Source organism: Homo sapiens, chromosome 16 (assembly GCF_000001405.40).
Source record: "Homo sapiens chromosome 16, GRCh38.p14 Primary Assembly".
Classification (NCBI taxonomy): domain Eukaryota; kingdom Metazoa; phylum Chordata; class Mammalia; order Primates; family Hominidae; genus Homo; species Homo sapiens.
Genome location: NC_000016.10, coordinates 3,084,170 through 3,099,640, shown reverse-complemented (window position 1 = coordinate 3,099,640; position 15,471 = coordinate 3,084,170). Strand labels below are relative to the sequence as shown.

The window sequence follows — 15,471 nt, the reverse complement described above, 5'->3', positions numbered from 1 at the left end:
CCCTGCTTTGTAACAGTGCCTGGCACACAGGAGGCCATTGCAAAGAGTAGTCACGTGAATGAAAAGCCTAGCAAAGAAGCCAGCACACTGTGGGCATTTAAAAATGGCAGCTCTTAGCCCAAAGGAAAGACGGGCAGACCTGCAAGGGGCACCAGGCCAGTCTTGATTTGGGAGGTGGTTACACTCTCACACAGGCTGGGATTGAAATCTGGATTTCTCACTTTGTCTTCATGTCACTGGCCCCGCCCTCTTCCCATCCCGCTCCCAAACTGGGAGCTTAAGGGTTAACTCTAGGAAGCCCCTCATCACCTGGATGGGATGGGACTGGGGCAAGGAACTTCCTGTTCCATTTTCCCAGAGCCCTTCCCCAGGCTGGCGGAGGCTGGCTTTGGCCCTGGAGTCCTCAGAAAACCCCCCAGCATCTCTGCCTGTGTAGTGGGGACTCCGAGTGGTGAGTTGGAGGGAGGTCGGGGTGCAGGCTGCCAGGACGGGTGCTAGGAGCTCGCAGCAGCTTGGAGAGAGCAGGGGAGGCTCCAGGCCTTGGTGCTGGGGTGGGGGCTGGAAGAGTCTTGGGAGGATGTAGAGGGTCTGCTGGGGAGCCTCGTGCCAGCCAGCTTGGTGGACCTGTCGCGATGGGGGCGTTGGGGACGAGGGAGATCGCAGAACTTCCTGTGACATTGAAGAAGGCTGGCTTCACGTGCTCCCAGGTGGACTGATGGGCCTTGTCCACTCAGCCCAGCACGCGGAGGGAGGCCCCTCCAACAAACAACAAATCAGGCAGCTGCCAACTGTGTCCAGGGAGAAAGGGAGTGTTCCCGGCTGAGGACCCCACCTTTGCCGCCTTCCCCAACTCTGGGCTCTCAGGTGACCTGGGTGGGTCTCGTGGCAGCACCTCCACCCCGGGCTCCAAATTAAGCTGCTCAAATGTTGGATGGTGGCTGTAGAGCCTCTGCCTGCCTCCCTACCCAGCCCACCCCCAACAGAGGTGCATATTAACAGAGCTTTTGTCCTGGAGATCTGGGGGGAGGGAGAGATTCTCTGAAGCCAACTTGTCTCGAATTCCACCTCTTTGAAACCTTTTGGAGAGATCTCACCTGGAGATTCCGGCCTCCCTGTGTGGCTTGCCCTGAGAGCTGAAATTTGGAATCTTCATTTTTTTTCTGTTTCATGCTGTGATATTTCGGCTAAGGCTAGGAAAATGGCACAGAGCAGGATGGAGATCAGTTCCTTTTCTGTTTCAGAGCTTTGGCACTGTGTTCTAGACCTACACTCTCAGCCTAAAGCAAACCTTGGCTCCACCTGGTGTGACCCTGAGCATGTCACCAAGTGCAAAGCTTGGTCTTTGCACTTGGCAAAGGGAGAAGTGATTGTTTCGTGCGTGGGCTGGACTGGGATGAAATGAGCTTAATCGCCAGACACTCAGTACCTGCCCGCTGCTCCTGCACGGCAATGGATGAGCAGTGATTAGTTTTCTTGTTATTTTGTGCATGCTACTAAAAACCAGTGAAACGTAATCCCATTTTCTTCCCCCTCCCCCACTCTTTTTTTTTCTTTTCTTTTCTTTTCTTTCTTTCTTTCTTTTTTTTTTTTTTTTTTTTGAGACAGGGTCTTCGCCTTTTATCCAGGCTGGTGTGCAGTGGCGCGAACATGGCTCACTGCAGCTTTGACCCCCCAGGTTCAAGCAATCCTTCTGCCTTGGCCACCCAAAATGCTGGGATTATAAGCATGAGCCACCGCATCCGGCCTCACAACACCATTTTTCTGATCATTTATCACAGACTTTTTCTGTCCTAGACGTTGTTACATGCTTTCCTTCGAGATGGCCAGAATCACTGCCATTCCCTAATTTCTGCTAACAGACACTGAAGCAACTTCAAGTGCTGGATGAACACTCATTGAACTAGACACAGCTCCTACTCCCAGGCCAGGCAGAGAAATACGCTCATCTGTGATTGAGGCACTCCATCGCCCTAGTGGGGAGAGATGGGGTGGGAGGATGGGGGCTGCCTGGAGTGGATGCCAGAGGGCAGGAAAGCGTAGTTCCGGCTCGGGGGTGGTTACACTCTCACACATGCAGGGGTTGAAATCTGGATTTCTCACTTTGTCTTCGCTTATCTGGCCCCACCCTGTCCCCATCCACCTCCCAAACTGGGAGCTTGAGGGTTAACGCTAGGAAGCCCCTCAACACCTGGATGGGATGGGACTGGGGCAGGGAACTTCCCGTTCCATTTTGTCAGAGTCCTTCCCCAGGTGGCTGAGGTTGGGAGATGCAGGGGAGCCGGGGTAGGGGTGAGGGGCTTGGAAGATACTGTGTGTTGCAGGGAGGTTGGGAGAGATGGGTCATGTTCTAGAATCACCTCCCCTCCTTCTCAGCGGCTAAGCTTAAAATCCCCCATTCTGTACCACAACACCACCCCACCTGAGGAGGTTCAGGGAACCCTCAGGCTCATATTAAGGGGGTACAGCAAACTGTCCAAGGCTCTCAACTAGGCCATCGTTACCAGGGAGAGGCTGCCCAAGGCTGAGTTACTTTTTTTTTTTTTTGAGACAGATTCTCATTCTGTTGCCCAAGCTGGAGTGTAGTGATGCAATCTCAGCTCACTGCAACCTCTGCCTCCTGGGTTCAAGAGATTCTCCTGCCTCAGTCTCCCGAACAGCTGGGACCACAGATGCATGCCACCATGCCCGGATAATTTTTTTTTTTTTTTTTTTGAGGCAGAGTCTAATTCTGTCGCCCAGGCTGGAGTGCAGTGGCACGATCTCGTCTCACTGCAACCTCCGCCTCCCAGGTTCAAGCAATTCTCCTCTCTCAGCCTCCTGAGTAGCTGGGACTACAGGCGCATGCCATCACGTCCGGCTAATTTTTGTAATTTTAGTAGAGACAAGGGTTTCACCATATTGATCAGGCTGGTCTCGAACTCCTGACCTCAGGTGATCCATCCACCTCGGCCACCCACACTGCTGGGATTACAGGCCTGAGCCACTGCACTCGGCCACTGGGTTACCTTTTTGCTGAGCCTTAGTGTCCTCGGCTGTAGAATGGGTCAGTGATGGGCCCAACAGAACTGTGAGTCACTGTTTGCTGCGGTGCTTGGTGTTGTAATCAGCAGCAATGAGAACAGTAATAGCTCGTGCTCATGGATGCCTACTGTGTGCCAGCCACTGCATGCTGGACAGTGCCCTGTGCCATTCAGGTGAGTGGAGTGGTGCTTCAGGCTTTCTTCACATCCCCCTACCTGGGGTGCCAACTGGGAGTGGAGGGTGGGAGGCTCTAGGAGAGGTTCACTTGTAGCCCTGAGGCTAGAGAACAGGAAGGGCAGAAAGCAGAGGGCAGGAGCCTGGATTTCCATGTCTATAAAATGACCCCTGCCTGAAATAAAATGTAAAAGAGACTCAAACAAAAATATGAGCCTGCTCTGCTCTGCTCAGAAAAGCTTAAATCATCCAGCCTCAATTAGTTGAGCAGGGCTGAACTGAGTCCCCTGTGGGTGGGGCCGAAATTTCGGAGGTTCCCCATGGGTAGTACTGGGCTACCAGACCAGGAAGGGGAAGCCCCACAGCCCTAGATTGGGAGGAGGTTGGGGGAGGATGTCAGTGCCTCCTGGTGGCTATAGATGACTTATTTTATATTTTTTATTTTTTGAGACGGGCTGGCACTGTCGCCTAGGCTGGAGTGCAATGTTGCAGTCACAGCTCACTGCACTGCAGCCTCAACCTCCTGGGATCAAGCAATCTTCCCACCTCAGCCTCCCAGGTAGCTAGGACCACAGGTATACACAACCATGACTGGCTAAATTTTTTTTTTTTTTTTTTGAGATGGAGTCTGGCTCTGTCGCCCAGGCTGGAGTGCAGTGGCGCGATCTTGGCTCATTGCAAGCTCTACCTCCCTGTTTCACGCCATTCTCCTGCCTCAGCCTCCTGAGTAGCTGGGACCACAGGCACCCGCCACTGCGCCCGACTGATTTTTTTTATTTTTATTAGAGACGGGGTTTCACCGTGTTAACCAGGATGGTCTCGATCTCCTGACCTGGTGATCCACCCTCGGCCTCCCAAAGTGCTGGGATTACAGGCGTCAGCCACTCAGTGCCCCCAGCAACTGGCTAAATTTTTAATTTTTTTTTTTTTTGAGACGGAGTCTCGCTGTCGCCCAGGCTGGAGTGCAGTGGCATGATCTCGGCTCACTGCAAGCTCCGCCTCCGGGGTTCACGCCACTCTCCTGCCTCAGCCTCCCGAGTAGCTGGGACTACAGGTGCCCGCCACCACCCGTGGCTAATTTTTTGTATTTTTAGTAGAGACGGGGTTTCACCATGTTAGACAGGATGGTCTCGATCTCCTGACCTTGTGATCTGCCTGCGTCAGCCTCCCAAAGTGCTGGGATTACAGGTGTGAGCCACCACACCCTGCCCTACATTTTTAATTTTTTTAGAGACGGGGGTCGTGCCATGTTGCCCAGGGCTGGTCTTGAACTCCTGAGGCTCAAGTGATCCTCCTGCCTCAGCCTCCCAAAGTGCTGGGATAACAGGCGTGAGCCAGCCCCGCTAACCTTTCATTTTGAAAATTCGAAAACATCCAGAGAACTTGAAAGAGCAGTGAAATGAACATTCATATATGTATCTCATATATCAGGCCCCTTCTCCAAACTCTTCAGCGTCTTCTAAGAACTCAGCCATTTCCTATATATTACAAGACTAGACTTTCATCTCAGAAATGGGTAGTCATACTGTTATCATCTAGTATCCCCACCATACTCACCATTTTCCGACTGGCCCCAGGATGTCTTTTAAAGCCTTTAAGAAAAATGAATGAGGATCCAATCTAGGTTCACCCACTTAGTTGTGAGGACTCTTTGGGCTCCTGTCCACCAGCGCCTCCTACAGGCACTTACTTTTTATGACACTGAGTAACTCAGGCCAATTTCTTTGAGAGATGGTCTGACTTGTTCCATATTCCCTGCAAGGCCCTAAACATTGGAAGTTGGATCTAAAGGCCACCATTAGGTCGGGCGGGGTGGTTCATGCCTGTAATCCCAGTACTTTGGGAGACCGAAGCGGGCGGATCACCTGAGGTTAAGAGTTTGAGAGCAGCCTGGCCAACATGGTGAAACCCCATCTCTACTAAAAATACAAAATTAGCGGCATGCGGTGGCGCGTGCTTGTAATCCCAGCTACTCACGAAGCTGACGGACGAGAATCACCGGAACCCGCGAGGCGGAGGTTGCGGTGAGCCGAGATCTTGCCATTGCACTCCATCCTGGGCAACAAGAGTGAAACTCCATCTCAAATAAATAAATAAATAAAGGCTGGTTGGATTGAGATTAGGTATTTTTGGGCTAGGCACAGTGGCTCACGCCTGTAATTCCAGCACTTTGAGAGGCTGAGGCAGGTGGATCACTTGAGCCCAGGAGTTTGAGACCAGCCTGGGCAACATAATGAGAACTCGTGTCTACAAAAAATAAATAAAATTAACCCAGCATGGTGATATGCACCTGTAGTCCCAGCTACTCGGGAGGCTGACGCGGGAGGATCACTTGAGCCCAGCAGATCAAGGCTGCAGTGAGCCGTGATTGCGCCACTGCACTGCAGCCTGCGTGACAGAGTGAGACCCTGTCTCAAAAAAATAAATAAATTACTTAATTAAATTAAAAATTTAAAAAACAGGCTTGGTGCAGTGGTTCACGCCTTAATCTCAGCAATTTGGGAGACTGAGGTGGGCTGATCACTTGAGGTCAGGAGTTCAAGACCAGCCCAGCCAACATGGTGAAACTCTTGTGTCTACTAAAAATGCAAAAATTAGCTGGGCGTGCTGCCACAGGCCTGTAATCCCAGCTACTGTAAACCCAGGCTGAGGAATGAGAATCGCTTGAACCTGGGAGGTGGAGGCTGCAGAGAGCTGAGATCATGCCACTGCACTCCAGTCTGGGTGATATAGCAAGACTCCATCTCAAAAAAAAAAAGAAAAAAAAAAGCTTTAAAAAACAAACTTTTTTGGCCAGGATCCATCTTGATGGTGCCATGTGCTCCCAGTGGCTACATCAGGAAGAAGGGAAGGGCAGGGTGTTTCTCTTTCAGGGATGGTCACTTTAATCACTTGGGAAAAGTGATGCAAATTTCTTTTTTTTTTTTTTTTGATCTGAGTCTCGCTCTGTCACCCAGGCTGGAGTGCAGTGGCGCGATCTCGGCTCACTGTAAGCTCCGCCTCCCAGGTTCACACCATTCTCATGCCTCAGCCTCCCCAGCAGCTGGGACTAAATTAGCCTGGCTAATTGTTTTGTATTTTTAGTAGAGACGGGATTTCACCGCGTTAGCCAGGATGGTCTCGATATCCTGACCTCGTGATCCACCCGCCTCGGCCTCCCAAAGTGCTCGGATTACAGGTGTGAGCCACTGTGCCCGGCCAAGTGATGTAAATCTCTAAATGCTTTAAGGAGGGATGATAATACAGAACTGTCAGTTTTCTCTGGCCTTTGCTTTGTTGGTAACCCTGAGACCGGGGGCTGTCCTGCCCTCGTGAGCCATTACCCAGTGAGAAAAGCGATTCCTCTGGGTCTGCGTATTGGGTGTCTTTTAACATGGATGACCCAGGTATGGGGCCAGCTTCCTCGCAGCAGATCCTAACCCAGGGTGTTCACCTTCGCAGGTGTGGGAGGAGAGGAGAGAGACCCAAGAGCGGGGCTGGCGTTAGGGAGGCATCCCCGCAGTGAAGGATGCTTGGAGAATCAGTCCCAGCTGCCGTGGAGCAGGAGCAGCTGGGGGAAGTCAAGCTGGAGGAGGAGGAGGCTGTCAGCCCAGAGGACCCCAGGCGACCAGAGTCCAGGCTGAGGCCCGAGGTGGCTCACCAGCTGTTCAGATGCTTCCAGTATCAGGAGGACATGGGGCCACGGGCGTCCCTGAGCCGGCTCCGGGAGCTCTGCGGCCACTGGCTGCGGCCGGCTCTGCACACCAAGAAACAGATCCTGGAGCTGCTGGTGCTGGAGCAGTTCCTGAGTGTGCTGCCTCCGCACCTCCTGGGCCGCCTGCAGGGGCAGCCGCTCAGGGATGGGGAGGAGGTGGTGCTGCTGCTCGAGGGCATCCACCGGGAGCCCAGCCACGCGGGGCCGCTGGTGAGAGGGTGGGGCAGCGGGCTGAGCAGCATGCGGATGATGGGGACTTGATCCCCCCAGTGAGGAATCTCTGGAAACTTCACTTTCCCCCACCTGACCATTCCTTCTTCACCTCCTAACTCCTCCCCTGGCTGACTCTAACCTCGTTTCTGTCCCATGTCCCCTCGGAGTCAGGACACAGGTTGCCACCCCGGGAGTCACTTAACTTGAATGTGTTTTGAACAGGATTTTAGTTGTAATGCTGGCAAGAGTTGTCCCCGTGCAGACGTCACCTTGGAGGAAAAGGGGTGTGCTTCCCAGGTCCCCAGCCACAGCCCCAAGAAGGAATTGCCTGCGGAAGAGCCTTCAGTGCTGGGCCCATCGGATGAGCCTCCCCGACCCCAGCCAAGGGCTGCCCAGCCTGCTGAGCCGGGACAGTGGAGGCTTCCCCCAAGTTCAAAGCAGCCGCTGAGCCCGGGGCCCCAGAAGACATTCCAGGCCCTGCAAGAAAGCAGTGAGGAGCTTGTGCCCTAGGAGGCCAAGGACTGGGTGTCGCGGAGGGGCCTGGATGTCTGGGGTGGGGTGAGAAGTGGGGCCTCCCCAGGTGACCAGGACAGGAGAGCGCCAAGGTGTCTTCACAGGGCCCGGATGATGCGGTGTGTGTCCTTGCAGCCATATGGCAGGCAGGGCTGCCTTCTAACAGCACTTCCTCCCCTCTTCCCCAATGCCGTCAGGTCCCCAGGGCCCCTCACCATGGCCAGAGGAGAGTTCCCGAGATCAGGAGCTGGCGGCTGTGCTGGTGAGCTGGGCCGCACCCCAGGGTGTCCTCAAGCCCCAGGAACTTCTCTACCCTGTAGTTTTAGCAAATCCATACCTTCCCTGATTCAGTCCTAGGAAGCATTTCAGTCCCCACAGGTTCCTGAGGCATGTTCCTCACTCACCAAGGGTTTCTGCTCTTGATACAGGAGTGCCTGACCTTTGAGGATGTGCCAGAGAATAAGGCGTGGCCTGCACACCCCCTGGGTAAGCAACCCTTCCCTGGAGAAGTGACCACTGATGCCTCTTTCTTTTCTTGTCTTTTTTAAAGAGATGGAATCTCGCTATGTTGCCCAGGCTAGTCTCCACTCCTGGGCTCAAGTGATCCTCCCACCTCAGCCTCCCAAAGTACTAGGATTACAGGCATGAGCCACCGTGACCGGCCAACACCTCTTTCTTTGCCTGAAGCTCCAGACCCTACCTGACTTTTTGGCCTTTTTGTTTTTTGAAACAGGATGTTACTCGCCCAGACTGTGGCACAATCATGGCTCACTGCAGCCGGGACCTCCTGGGCTCAGGTAATCCTCCCACCTCAGCCTCCCGAGTAGCTGGGACTATAGGTGTGTGCCACCACGCCCAGCTAACTTTTTGTAGAGAGGTCAAATAAAAGGGCACCCTTGTTTGACCTCCACCCTCTCTACCAACCTACCAGGTTTTTTTGTTTGTTTGTTTGTTTTCAGACAGAGTCTCACTGTGTTGCCTAGGCTGGAGTGCAGTGGAACCATCTCCGCTCACTGCAACCTCCGCCTCCCGGGTTCAATCGATTCTCCTGCCTCAGCCTCCCGAGTAGCTGGGACCACAGGCATGCGCCACTACACCCAGCTAATTTTTGTTTTGGTTTTTTTTTTTTTTTTTTGTAGAGACGGGGCTTCACCATGTTGGCCAGGGTGGTCTTGAACTCACTCCTGACTTCAAGTGATCCGCCCGCCTCGGGCTCCCAAAGTGCTGAAATTACAGGCGTGAACCACTGTGCCCGGCCTTTTACCTACCAGCTTTGCAGGATCCTGGGTTTCTTTCCACTTCCAGGCCAATCAGGTTCTGGTGATTGATAGTGGCCCTGGGAATAGGCCTGACCGTCCCTGTTTTGTCTTGTTTCCCAGGATTCGGAAGCAGAACCCCAGACAAGGAGGAATTTAAACAAGAAGAGCCCAAAGGGGCTGCCTGGCCCACTCCCATCTTAGCAGAGTCCCAGGCAGATAGTCCTGGGGTGCCGGGAGAGCCTTGCGCCCAGTCGCTCGGACGGGGCGCTGCGGCTAGCGGCCCTGGTGAAGATGGGTCCCTTCTTGGCAGCAGTGAAATTTTGGAGGTCAAAGTGGCTGAGGGCGTCCCCGAGCCCAATCCGGAGTTGCAGTTCATCTGCGCGGACTGCGGGGTGAGCTTCCCGCAGCTGTCTCGCCTGAAGGCGCACCAGCTGCGCTCGCACCCGGCTGGGCGCTCCTTCCTGTGCCTTTGCTGCGGGAAGAGCTTCGGCCGCAGCTCCATTCTCAAGCTGCACATGCGCACTCACACGGACGAGCGGCCGCACGCCTGCCACCTGTGCGGCCACCGCTTCCGCCAGAGCTCGCACCTGAGCAAGCACCTGCTGACCCACTCCTCCGAACCCGCCTTCCTGTGCGCAGAGTGCGGCCGCGGCTTCCAGCGCCGCGCCAGCCTTGTGCAGCACCTGCTGGCGCACGCCCAGGACCAGAAGCCGCCCTGCGCTCCTGAGAGTAAGGCCGAAGCGCCGCCACTGACCGATGTCCTGTGCTCCCACTGCGGCCAGAGCTTCCAGCGCCGCTCCAGCCTCAAGCGCCACCTGCGGATCCACGCCAGGGACAAGGACCGCCGGTCCTCCGAAGGCTCCGGCAGCCGCCGCCGGGACTCCGACCGGAGGCCCTTCGTGTGCAGCGACTGCGGCAAGGCCTTCCGGCGCAGCGAGCACCTGGTGGCCCACCGGAGGGTGCACACGGGCGAGCGGCCCTTCTCCTGCCAGGCTTGCGGCCGCAGCTTCACGCAGAGCTCGCAGCTGGTCAGCCACCAACGGGTGCACACGGGCGAGAAGCCCTACGCCTGTCCGCAGTGCGGGAAGCGCTTTGTGCGCCGGGCCAGCCTTGCCCGCCACCTGCTGACCCACGGTGGCCCTCGGCCCCACCACTGCACCCAGTGCGGGAAGAGTTTCGGCCAGACCCAGGATCTGGCCCGCCACCAGCGCAGCCACACGGGCGAGAAGCCCTGCCGCTGCAGCGAGTGCGGTGAGGGCTTCAGCCAGAGCGCCCACCTGGCGCGCCACCAGCGCATCCACACAGGGGAGAAGCCCCACGCCTGCGACACCTGCGGCCACCGTTTCCGCAATAGCTCCAACCTGGCCCGCCATCGCCGCAGCCACACGGGCGAGCGGCCCTACAGCTGTCAGACGTGCGGTCGCAGCTTCCGGCGCAACGCGCATCTGCGGCGGCACCTGGCTACCCATGCGGAGCCCGGGCAGGAGCAGGCCGAGCCCCCGCAGGAGTGCGTGGAGTGCGGGAAGAGCTTCAGCCGCAGCTGCAATCTGCTGCGACACCTGCTGGTGCACACGGGCGCCAGGCCCTACTCCTGCACGCAGTGTGGCCGCAGCTTCAGCCGCAACTCCCACCTGCTGCGCCACCTGCGCACCCACGCCCGCGAGACGCTGTACTAGCTTGGCCCGCCTTCCGCCAGCCGCGCCCTGCGCCACCTACCCGGGGTCCTCCACAGCGGAGGCCTGCAGGAATGTCCCTTCCCACCACACCCCACTTCCCTCTCCTTCCACTTTCACAGCTGTCCTTCCCTGGCCGAGGCATTGCTTTCTGGCCTCAGCTATGTAATTAAAACGCCCGAAGTAAAATGGCCTTCTCCAAAATGGCCCCTCTTTATTTCTTTACAAGCCCACCAAAATTCGAACTGTCAGCTTTCCCTCTGGGGCACAGGGACACAGCTGCACCTTCTGGAGCAGGCTGACTGGGAGCAGGTGGGGGGAGAGTGTCGCCACCCAGAATGAGGGAGAAGGGGGAGATGTCAGCCTTCACAGCCAGCTGTGGGGAGAGCCAAGGAATCTGACCCTGGAATGTTTTCTCCTCTGGAGTCTACCCTTGATCTGTGCTGTGCGGTAAGTACTCACTTGTCACATAAGACTCCTTAAGTTGTCTGGGCATGGTGCCCATGCTCCCAGCACTTTGAGAGGCCGAGGCGGGTGGATCACCTGAGGTCAGGAGTTCAAGACCAGCCTGACCGACATGGTGAAACCCCTGTCTCTACAAAAAATACCAAAATTAGCCGGGCGTGGTGGTGTCTGCCTGTAGTCCCAGCATCCTGGGAGACTGAGACAGGAGAATTCCTTGAACACGGGAGGCAGAGGTTGCAGTGAGCCTAGATCATGCCATTGCACTCCAGCCTGGGCAACAGAGCGAGACTATGTCACCAGATGTTGCAGGAGAAATTCCTCTTGTGGACCCCAGGAAAGGACATTTCAAGGAGGAGGGATCAGTCAACTGAGAGATGGAGGGTGAGGAGTTGGGAGAGGCCACATTTGAAGCACGGGAAGCCCTCCTGATGTATTGAGTGCCTACTGTGTGCCAGGGAAGGTGCTGGGTTATTGAGGGGAATAAGGGGAAGGTGGCCTGGGAAGGATGTGGGAGGGGCGGCCCTGGCAGAGGGAGTATCAGGAAGCCAGGCCTGGGGAAGGGAGGAGCCCCAGATGCAGCTGGACAGCATCTGTCCCGGAGGGGGACACAACAGTTCCCAATGACTGAGGGCTGACACGCCAGCCCTGGGCTCATGTGCAATGGGAGACCTGCAGAGGGCTCAGGCAGGGAGGGATTTCTTTTCTAGTAATAAAATCACTTCAGCTTTGGCTACTGCATGGAAATAGATTGAGAGAGGCAAGGCCAGGGACGGCAGCTAGAAGGCGGAGACTGCTGTCCAGGCTGGGGGTGACAGAGCCCCTGGGGACAGAGTGAAACTCTGTCTCAGAAAAACAAAACAAAACAAAAAAGAACTTGAGCAGTGGCAGAGGGTAGATCCCAGCATGTGGCCCGGGGTAAGGAGAGGCGGGACCAGGGTCGAGCCATGGGCGGCCCCTCAGAGCTGGGGTCTCAGGCCAGAGACAGTCCTTCCAGGATAAAGGGACATCAGAGGTTTCTGCAGGATGCGAAGGAGGAAAGCCTGCGGGGCTCTTTGAGGCTCTGCAGAGAGAAGTCCGGATCCAGCTGCCTCCTTCCTCAGGAAGGCTGGGGGCAGCAGGGCCCAGAGAGCCTGGTGACATCATTCCTTCCCACTGGTCACCTCCCTCAGTCCTGCAGGAGCTGCTGGGACAGGGGCTGGAAGCAAGCAGGGCCCCTCAGGGTGACCAGGGCCACCAAAGGTGACTGTCGGGGTCGCTGTCCAGCTGTTTCCCCTGCTGGACACTAGGCTGCGCCAAGGAGTGCGTGCTCCAAAACTCAAGAGTGCATCCAATGCTCCAAACGGGCAGACCAGGGAGGGGCATACTGACCCCCAGCAATGTTCCTGGTCCCCAAGCCCCCCACACCCTCGAGCACACCCCAGTGTCCCTCCCAGACCGTGGGCTCAGCCCTAGGAGAGCTGCTCAGGGAGCCTCCCCTGTGGGTGTTTGCTCCTCCCCAGGCTGTGGCCCATTTCCCCTTCCTCCTTCCTGCTCAGCCCAAAGGCAGGAGTCATGGAACCCCAGGAAAGGACGGAACAGAACAGGACAGGGCCCCCAGCCCCATCTTTATCTCACCGGCTGCTGCTGGCTGCCAAGCCTCCCCTGAATGGGGGAGGGTGGTCTGTGTGAGTCAGCGGAGGCACGAAGTGGAGGAAGACGGGAGCCTCTGCCAGGCCCGTTGAGCGTGGCCTCAGAAATGGTGAGAAGTGCCCTCCCAGCTGTTCCTCCTGGCCGCCCTAGGCTCTGCAACTGCAGGGTGCTGAGGCCTCAGGCCCAGAGATTTGACCTCTGCCTTCTTGCCTCTCCCCTGAAACCAGGGCCTAGTGGGGGACTCCTGAGTCCGCTCTGCCCCAGCCCCTGGGGCCCTTGATCTTGGGAGAAAACCAAGGAGATTTTGCGGCCCCAGCCCTGCCCGGGGGATGAGGACAGAAGAGGGAGTCATGACAAGAAAGATGCAGGGCCAAAGTCCCCTCAGGCCGGGGGCCCAGGGGTGGCGATCAGGGAGCGGTTCTGTGCTTCCGGCTCTGTAATCAAGGACACGCCAGGCTGAAATCCTCTAGTCCTCAACCAACCCACCAGGGCATGGAGACCCATGCACATTATCAATAAGAAAGTCAGGGGCCTGGCCTTGCTTTTCCACATCTGGAATGTGGGTAGGTCCATCAGAGCCACGGTCTCTGCTGTCACTATTGGGCCCCCCGCCTCCCTGTTCCCGCCTGTCAGAGAAGCCTGGAGACAGGCACCTGATTCTATTTAAGCAACTTTTATTTTATTTTATTTTATTGTTTTCAGGGGAAGGTATGAATGCAGTCCCCCACTACCACAAATTATGCAGGCGAGTGTCCCACACTTGGGGAAATCACAGGGGTCAGCACATCCGGGGTGCAATTGAGACGGTTTGGCTCTATTTCACTCAAATCTCATCTGGAATTGTAATCTCCACATGTCAAGGGAAGGACCTGGTAGGAAGTGATTGGATCATGGGGGTGGTTTCCACCATGCTGTTCTGGTGAAACTGAGTGAGTTCTCACGAGGTCTGATGTTTTTCTTGTTTGTTTGTTTTGTTTTGTTTTGTTTTTTTGAGACGGAGTTTCATTCTTGTTGCCCAAGCTAGAGAGCAGTCGCGCAATCTCTGCTCACCACAACCTCCGCCTCCTGGATTCAAGCAATTCCTGCCTCAGCCCCTCTAGTAGCGGGGATTACAGGTGCACGCCACCATGCCCGGTTAATTTTTGTATTTTTAGTAGAGACGGGGCCTCACCATGTTGGCCAAGCTGGTCTCGAACTCCTGACCTCAGGTGATCCACCCACCTCTGCAGTGGGATAATTAAGGAATCAGAGAGACCGAGGGGTTAAGGTGGAATTATTTAATTATTTAGGTGCACTGACCCAGTGGGATTCACATCCAAAGGACTGAGGCTTGAACAAAGAGTCCGGTTACCTTTTAAGCATTTTGTGGGATGGGGGGAGATTTGTGCTGGGGGAAGCATATTACAGAAGCGAGAAACAAAGATAGTTATTCAGTCAAGACATGCATTACATTATTTCTTACTTTTTAAGGAACAACTTGTGTTATGACTTGAGATTATCTGTTTAGTGACCTTGCAGCTGCACAGCTAGAGAAACAGGGTCTTCACGATGCCTGGGAAAGGGAGAGATAAGGCTCACTAGCCACAGAAAAACAGGCAGTCAATTTTTAAAGGACTTTAGCTCTTTTTCTTCCTCAGGGGGAATTGGTTTTTTCTTACATACAGCTGAGTTTTTGCTTACACATTTTTTAATTTCTTTTAATTCCTGTGCTACCTTGGCCTCCCAAAGTGCTGGGATTATAGGTGTGAGCCACCACACCCAGCCTGAGATCTAATGTTTTAAAAGTGTTTGGCAGTTCCCTGCTTTCTTTCTCTCTCCCTCTCTCTCTCCCCTGCCGCCATGTAAGACGTGCCTTGCTTTCCCTTTGCCTTTCACCAAGATTGTAAGTTTCCTGAGGCCTCCCCAGTTTTTTGGAACTGTGAGTCAATTAATCCTTTTTTCTTTATAAATTACCCAGTCTCAGGTATTTTTTACAGCAGTGTGAAAACGGACTAATAGAGAAAATTAGTATCAGGCGTGGGGCACTGCTATAAAGATAACCTGAAAATGTGGAAGCAACCTTGGAACTGGGTAACAGGAAGAGGGTAGAACAGTTTGGAGGACTCAGAAGAAGATAGGAAGATATGGGAAAGTCTGGAACTTCCTAGAGACTTGTTGAATGGCTTTCACCAAAATGCTGATAGTGATATGCATAATCAAGTCCAGGCTGAGGTGGTCTCAGATGGAGATAAGAAACTTGCTAGGAATTGGAGTAAAGGAGACCCTTGCTATGCTTTAGCAAAGAGACTGAAGGAATTTTGCCCCTGCCCTGTGGAACTTTGAACTTGAGACAGATGACTTAGCATGTCCTGCAGTAGAAATTTCTTTCCTTTTCTTTTTTTTTTTTTTTTTTGAGAGGGTGTCTCTCTGTGTCACCAGGATGGAGTGAAGTGGCATGATCTTGATTTCGGCTAACTGCAACCTCTGACTCCCTGGTTCAAGTGATTCTCTTGCCTCAGCCTCCTAAGTAGCTGGGATTATAGGACACGCCACCATACCCAGCTAATTTTTGTATTTTTAGTAGAGACGGGGTTTCACCATGTTGGCCAGGATGATCTCAATCTCCTGACCTCGTGATCTGACCGCCTCAGCCTCCTAAAGTGCTGGGATTACAGGTGTGAGCCACTGCACCAGGCCAGCAGTAGAAATTTCTAAGCAGCAAAGCATTCAATAGGTGACCTGTCTTTTCCTAAAAGCGTATGGTTATATGCACTCACAAAGAAATGGTTTGAAATTAGAACTTACATTTAAAAGGGAAGCAGAGCATAAAAGATTGGAAAATTTGCAGCCT

General features: G+C 54.6%; 1 protein-coding gene and 1 pseudogene across 5 annotated transcripts, besides 8 other annotated features; one reads left to right on the top strand and one right to left on the bottom strand.

Moving 5' to 3' along the window:
• Positions 1 to 346: 346 nt before the first annotated feature.
• ZSCAN10 (zinc finger and SCAN domain containing 10) lies at positions 347 to 10,751 on the top strand. Of its 5 annotated transcripts, NM_032805.3 has the most exons (6): positions 347 to 451; positions 6,637 to 7,099; positions 7,325 to 7,592; positions 7,813 to 7,877; positions 8,044 to 8,101; positions 8,995 to 10,751. In NM_032805.3, the coding sequence occupies exons 2-6, from the start codon at positions 6,704 to 6,706 to the stop codon at positions 10,548 to 10,550; spliced, it is 2,343 nt and encodes a 780-aa protein (NP_116194.2). In that variant the 5' UTR covers positions 347 to 451; positions 6,637 to 6,703; the 3' UTR covers positions 10,551 to 10,751. The 5 variants fall into 5 exon arrangements, with proteins under 5 accessions (NP_116194.2, NP_001269344.1, NP_001352201.1 ...); NM_001282415.2 differs by lacking the exon at positions 6,637 to 7,099; NM_001365272.1 differs by lacking the exon at positions 7,325 to 7,592 and having other exon boundaries at positions 6,637 to 6,964.
• Positions 4,900 to 4,969: a silencer, noted in NCBI's record as "silent region_7113". NCBI's record gives its function as "represses an Ori minimal core promoter by ATAC-STARR-seq in GM12878 lymphoblastoid cells {active_cell/tissue: GM12878}" and the evidence as "EXISTENCE:reporter gene assay evidence [ECO:0000049][PMID:35858748]".
• Positions 6,340 to 6,927: an enhancer, noted in NCBI's record as "H3K27ac-H3K4me1 hESC enhancer chr16:3142715-3143302 (GRCh37/hg19 assembly coordinates)". NCBI's record gives its function as "activates a minimal SCP1, AML or CMV promoter by ChIP-STARR-seq in primed H9 embryonic stem cells {active_cell/tissue: H9 hESC(primed)}" and the evidence as "EXISTENCE:reporter gene assay evidence [ECO:0000049][PMID:30033119]".
• Positions 6,461 to 6,654: a silencer, noted in NCBI's record as "fragment chr16:3142988-3143181 (GRCh37/hg19 assembly coordinates)". NCBI's record gives its function as "represses an EF-1alpha promoter that drives an FKBP-Casp9 reporter gene in an ReSE screen in phorbol 12-myristate 13-acetate-treated (for megakaryocytic differentiation) K562 erythroleukemia cells {active_cell/tissue: K562(+PMA)}" and the evidence as "EXISTENCE:reporter gene assay evidence [ECO:0000049][PMID:32094911]".
• Positions 8,860 to 9,389: an enhancer, noted in NCBI's record as "H3K27ac-H3K4me1 hESC enhancer chr16:3140253-3140782 (GRCh37/hg19 assembly coordinates)". NCBI's record gives its function as "activates a minimal SCP1, AML or CMV promoter by ChIP-STARR-seq in primed H9 embryonic stem cells {active_cell/tissue: H9 hESC(primed)}" and the evidence as "EXISTENCE:reporter gene assay evidence [ECO:0000049][PMID:30033119]".
• Positions 9,921 to 10,451: an enhancer, noted in NCBI's record as "H3K27ac-H3K4me1 hESC enhancer chr16:3139191-3139721 (GRCh37/hg19 assembly coordinates)". NCBI's record gives its function as "activates a minimal SCP1, AML or CMV promoter by ChIP-STARR-seq in primed H9 embryonic stem cells {active_cell/tissue: H9 hESC(primed)}" and the evidence as "EXISTENCE:reporter gene assay evidence [ECO:0000049][PMID:30033119]".
• Positions 11,456 to 12,313: an enhancer, noted in NCBI's record as "H3K4me1 hESC enhancer chr16:3137329-3138186 (GRCh37/hg19 assembly coordinates)". NCBI's record gives its function as "activates a minimal SCP1, AML or CMV promoter by ChIP-STARR-seq in primed H9 embryonic stem cells {active_cell/tissue: H9 hESC(primed)}" and the evidence as "EXISTENCE:reporter gene assay evidence [ECO:0000049][PMID:30033119]".
• Positions 11,456 to 12,473: a biological region, named in NCBI's record as "Sharpr-MPRA regulatory region 9802".
• Positions 12,179 to 12,473: a silencer, noted in NCBI's record as "tiled region #9802; HepG2 Repressive DNase unmatched - State 1:Tss". NCBI's record gives its function as "represses a minimal TATA promoter and a strong SV40 promoter by Sharpr-MPRA in HepG2 cells {active_cell/tissue: HepG2}" and the evidence as "EXISTENCE:reporter gene assay evidence [ECO:0000049][PMID:27701403]".
• On the bottom strand, positions 13,341 to 13,498 carry RNU1-22P (RNA, U1 small nuclear 22, pseudogene; annotated as a pseudogene).

Excerpts from the sequence above, each read along its gene's own strand:
- ZSCAN10 (NM_032805.3), top strand. The coding sequence starts at position 6,704 with ATGCTTGGAGAATCAGTCCCAGCTGCCGTGGAGCAGGAGCAGCTGGGG. Across the intron at positions 7,593-7,812 it reads CCAGGCCCTGCAAGAAAGCA|GTCCCCAGGGCCCCTCACCA; the intron begins GTGAGGAGCTTG and ends CAATGCCGTCAG. Across the intron at positions 7,878-8,043 it reads AGGAGCTGGCGGCTGTGCTG|GAGTGCCTGACCTTTGAGGA; the intron begins GTGAGCTGGGCC and ends CTCTTGATACAG.